Below are 5,311 nucleotides of genomic sequence, written 5' to 3' on the forward strand. Positions count from 1 at the left end.
GGAGGGACAGGGTAGGATTATGTCATATTCCTGGAATAGTGTAGCAAAAGTCCCCCTGTTTATGCACTCTGCTGAGATTCAGGTCTGTGCTGGCACAGGACAGAATGTTCCAGCACAGGATAACTATGTTACAGTGCCAGTTATGAAAGCAGGGGAGTGTCTTGTGTTGGGGGCAGAGCAGTCTTTGACTGCCACGCTAGGTAAAAGGCCACCACGAAAGCCTTCTTATTTAGTCTGAGCTTTCACAATTCCAGGCTCTTGCCAGTCTCAGGATTTTTCTCGTGAATGAACCAGGAAGGTCCAAGGTAGGGTGAGCAAGGCAAGCTAGCCAGGGATAGGAGCAGGGCTAGTTTGTAGTGCAGGCTGCCCTGCTGAGGGGAGCAGCCTCATATGAGTCCAGGAGGCAGTCAGCATGATTCACCGAGCCTGTTGGAGGCTAGTGACTTGAGCTGGTGTTTCATAAGGCTCTGCATGGGCAGTTTTCCCTCCCGGATTCCTCTCCATGCAGCTGCAGACTGAGGAAAATCAAAGCCACAGCTTCTGCTGGGATTTGCATGGGAAAGTTTCCCCCTTCCCTGGGAATGTCCTTTCAGTTCTCTACACCCCGTGGCTTCGACTATGTTCCACAAACACTGAGCCAACAGCTTGCCAGAACCCCAGGGTCAGCGCCTGTGGAACCTGTCACCCACCTGCAGCTGCAAGTCTTGGGATATGCGTGAGACCTCAGACAGCAGTCTGCCTGCTGGGTGGAGGTGGGGGGTCCAGGCCAGGATGGGCTGACTGGCAAACATTCCCAGGTAGGGTGACCAACTCATCCTGGTTGTCCCAAGACTTTACTGCCTTTAGCACTAAAAGAATCATATCAAAGGAAATTCCTCAGTCCTAGACAGAAGAGGACACCCTGTCCCCTGACTCTCTAATCCCCGGCAGTGGTGTGCCTGCTGACCTGCCCAAATAGTTGTACTTATCCTGAGCTGCTGATTCACCTTGTGGACAGGGTGGCTCAATGCAACTGATGGCACTTTCCTCTTTGGCTGGCTCCTAGAAAATTCATTTTAAAATTTATTTTATTTTATTTTTGAGACTGGGGCCTTGCCAGGCTGGAGTGTAGTGGTGCGATCATAGCTCACTGCAGCCTCAAACTCCTGGGTTCAAGCCATCTTCCTATCTTAGCCTATGGCATAGCTGAGACTACAGATGTGTGCCACCACGCCTGGCTAATTAAAAAAAAAATTATTTTGGTAGAGATGGGCCTTGCTATGTTGCCCATCAGGTTTTGAACTCCTGAGCTCAAGTGATCCTCCTGCCTCAGCCTCCATAGTCGCTGGGACTACAGGTATGCACCACCACATCTGGCTAATTTTTAAAAAAATTTTTGTAGAGACAGAGTCTCTCTATGTCGCCCAGGCTGATCTTGAACTCCTGGCCTCAGGCATTCCTCCTTGGCCTTCCAAAGTGCTGGGATTATACACATGAGCCGGCTGCTGGAAATTTCAGAGCCTAATTTGTACCTCTCCCTAACGAATTATATAGGAATGAGTAGGTGCAATTTGTGTGTTAATCTTTCTCTTAGCCAATCCATCTCTCCTTAGCATCTATTTGTCTTCTTTTAATACTTACTATAAAACACACCTTCTCTTACATCATTGGCCGTAGCTTTGTAACCATTTCAAATTATATTTCAAAGACCTACAAATTGTTAGGCCCCTCTCAAACCTCCTGCAGGGAAATCTTTCCTATCTGCCCAAGACCCTTCTTTGAGTGTGTCTGGCCTTGGCCAGGAGGCACCATTGTAACAAAATAGACCTGATCATGCACTTGGGGAAAAATCACTAATCCTTAGTGTCTGCTGTTATGAACAGAGGTATTTTTAAAAACGTTAGAAACATGTATAGGCCTTTGCTGAAATTACGATCAAATTCTGTACCTGCTTAACAATTTGTTCCATCACAGTGTAATGGCGAGCGTGCGCCTGGCTGCTCCCCCAAATGATCGCGGTTGGGTTTTCTGTACAGTTTTCTCTCCAGTCGAAAGATAATTGCTTTCCACACATAGGAAAATCTAAGCATAGAACCAGGTGTTCAGGTAGCTTGGGCTGAGCCAAATGAAACCAGCCACAGGCAGGCTCTGTGAAAACAAGATTTAGCTTGCATGACAGCTACTGTTTCACTGGCTTTGATGAGGTGTGAGCGATGTGTATTTCACAGGCCACAATACGGCTTCGAGAGGGAGCCTGAACTTCAGTGTCTACTTCCAGTTCTTTGCCCTTGGCTGTTTTGATTTTCAGTCTGAGAGGTACTCCTGGGCTAATTCACTTTTTTCTCTGGCACTCGTAGAAAGAATCCAGGCACTATTCGGCACAGTAATTTGAACATTTTTCATTTAGGAGGATCTGGCCATGGGACCAAATCCTGGGACCAGTGAGTCTTGGAAAAATCACTTAGAAAATGTATCCAAGGCCTGTTTGCTAAAATCATTCCCTCTTTTCATTTATCTTTGCAGACATTTCGCTTCCTGTCTCATAACAAATTCAAATAACAAATTCAACTTTAGGTCTGAAAAAATGTGAGCTGTGACCACAATATATTGTTATCTGAATTGTCCAGATGGTCCAGGAAAAAAAAAATTGAAGCTTATTTGATTGATTTCTCTAACTTCCCAGACAGATTATGATTCATTGGGAAAATGTTCCCTGTGGTTTTCTAGAGTATTTTCAAGCAATAGCCGTGCCGAAGGAGCTTCAGGGTATGAAGACTAGTTTCTAAATGATACATAATAAACCCTGTTGCTTGGCAAAGTTTTCATTTTGAAATCTGAAACCTTTACCATCTCCAAGTTTCAGGATAGCAAAAGAATCTCAACTGATTTCACCAAAATCAATTCCTGACCTTTGACCTTTATTACAAACTGTAGCATGAAGTCTTTGCCCCACTCAAAAGTATACAATTTTTTTTCATGAATCATTGTGGTTCGTTCAGAAAAACTTGGCCAAGGCATGAGGTTTATGTCCAGTTTAGAACACTTGTGCCAGATATGATACATTCAACATGATGTGTGGTTTCCTCTTTTTTTTTGAGACGGAGTCTTGCTCTGTCACCCAGGCTGCAGTGCAGTGGGGCACTCTCGGCTCACTGCAACCTCCACCTCCCAGGTTCAAGTGATTCTCCTGCCTGAGCCTCCCAAGTAGTTAGGACTACAGGCACCCGCCATCACACCGGGCTAATTTTTGTATTTTTAATAGAGATGGGGTTTCACCATGTTGGCCAGGCTGGTCTTGAACTCCTGACCTCAAGCAATCTGCCTGCCTCGGCCTCCCCAAAGTGCTGGGATTACATGCATGAGCCACCATGCCCGGCTGGTTTTGATTTCTTGAGAAATCCCTGTAACGGCACCTTGAAACCCCACCAAGCCATTGTGAGGAGCATTTAAGCCAAACCAAGATCCCTGTTTAGGGTTTGATGTTGGATTCTCCTGGCAATGTGGGTCTTGTCTACAATACAGTTGGTGCACACTCCCATAACCCACAGCAGCACCCGGCTGGATGAAAAATGACTCTATCCAAATGATGGGATGTGTTCTTTCCCAACAGAGGCCCACACGGCTCTGCGAGCCTTCTTCAGGGAAGCTCTGTAGTGCCTGAGCTGTCATCCTAGCCCCATGAGAGAAAGGACAGGGAAGGGGGTTCCACAGCCTATGCAGAACTTCAGGGGAGGGGTGGTGGCCAGGAATGTTCACCTCTTCCCACAGGCCTTTATAGATGTCAGGACATGTCTGGACAGAATCAATAATTAGATTTATCTGGGTAGGAGGCGGTACTTTTGCACGCATACACACACACACACTTTTTTGGGAGGCTGAGTAGGGGAGAGAGGAATGAAACACAGTATTATTCTTGCAGATACAGAGCTATAATGATGGCGTTGGAATAGCTGGCAGTGGGAGAATAATCTGTGAAACTGAAAGGAGCTGTTCCTCACTTTTTGTTTCCCCCTTTTTTTCTTTTATTGATATGTAATATTTGACATGTTTCTGGGGTACATGTGTGTTACCTACTTCTAAGGTTAGACAGAGTCTTGATAGCTCAGGATTTTTTTAAAGCTAGGTGTATGGTTGATTTTAATGGTAATATTTCATTTGCAACTCAAAGGATAAATGCTTGAGGGGATGGGTACCCAATTCTCCATGATGTGCTTATTTCACATTGCATGCCTGTATCCAAACATCTCAGGTGTCCCATAAATATATACACCTACTGTGTACTCACAAACATTAAAAATAAAAAAAATCACTACTTCTTAATACTATATCTAAAATCTTAGCACCTCCCCAAATGCTTTCTAATTCATCGCCAGGCTATGCAATTGTTATAGTTTCCATCCCTGAGGGTTAAGTAGGATCATGACTCCCATCACAGGGATAAGTAACCTAAGGTTCCGTGGATTTTGTTTGTTTTCTAGAGCAGGGAGCTCTATTCTTTTAGGCTTTATCCACTTGCAATTTCTTCAGCATTTGTCCTGCTTGTCATAGGGTTTAATTTCCTCTTCTTTTCCTCCTTTCTCTTAGACATGTGGGCTTAAAGCCATCCCTCACTGATCCCTGCTAGCAGATGAATATATCGGAAGGTGATGAGTACGAAGGAGCTTGGCTGCCAGCCAGGCGGTGTCGGAAAAGGATGGGAATTATGTTGTTGTGAACCTAAAGCTGCTCCAGGAAAGTCTATCGAAAAGTTAAAAACATTTAAATAAACAAATAAAAGGATGAGAATGTTGAAATGCTAAAAGATCAGTGGTGTGTGGGATTCTTCGAGCCCTGCAGTTTCAACACATTTGAGGTGGAAGGGCCAAGATCGGCCTGCCATAGCCCTTTGTTTAGAGGATGTTCAGCCAGTGGTGACTCCACAGGCCTGCAGCCTAAAAGCCCAGGGGCAGATGCAAAGGCAGTCTAGACCAAAGCGTTGTCCCATGCCCGCACAGGTGCGGACAAGTCCAGGAACTCGCCAGCTGTTGCAGCTCTCTCAGAACAAATACAGCCATAACCATTGGAGGGCCAGCAGGCAGCCTCAGCCTGCAGAGAGGTGGGCTCCGTCACTCCGGCCTCCTTGTCTCTCCTCCAGTTTGATAGAAGCCCCACCCCCGGTCTAATATTACAATCCATATAGCTTGTGTCACCAGCTTGCCTATTTCCAGTAAAAACCAGGTAGCAAATCTAGGCTCAGTAGTGTGTGCCTGCAGTCCCAGCTACTCAGCAGGCTGAGGCAGGAGGATCACTTGAGGCCAGGAGTTTAAGGCTGTAGTATTCACGATGATGCCTG

At 45.8% G+C, this 5,311-nt stretch overlaps 1 long non-coding RNA gene across 1 annotated transcript; it reads left to right on the forward strand.

Annotated features, from left to right (window-relative positions):
- Positions 1-231: 231 nt before the first annotated feature.
- On the forward strand, positions 232-4,780 carry LOC124902403 (uncharacterized). The gene is made up of 2 exons (XR_007062101.1): positions 232-797; positions 4,564-4,780. It is a non-coding gene; the product is annotated as an uncharacterized LOC124902403 (long non-coding RNA).
- Positions 4,781-5,311: the final 531 nt, after the last annotated feature.

The sequence above is a fragment of the Homo sapiens genome, chromosome 10 (genome assembly GCF_000001405.40).
Source record: "Homo sapiens chromosome 10, GRCh38.p14 Primary Assembly".
Lineage (NCBI taxonomy): Eukaryota > Metazoa > Chordata > Mammalia > Primates > Hominidae > Homo > Homo sapiens.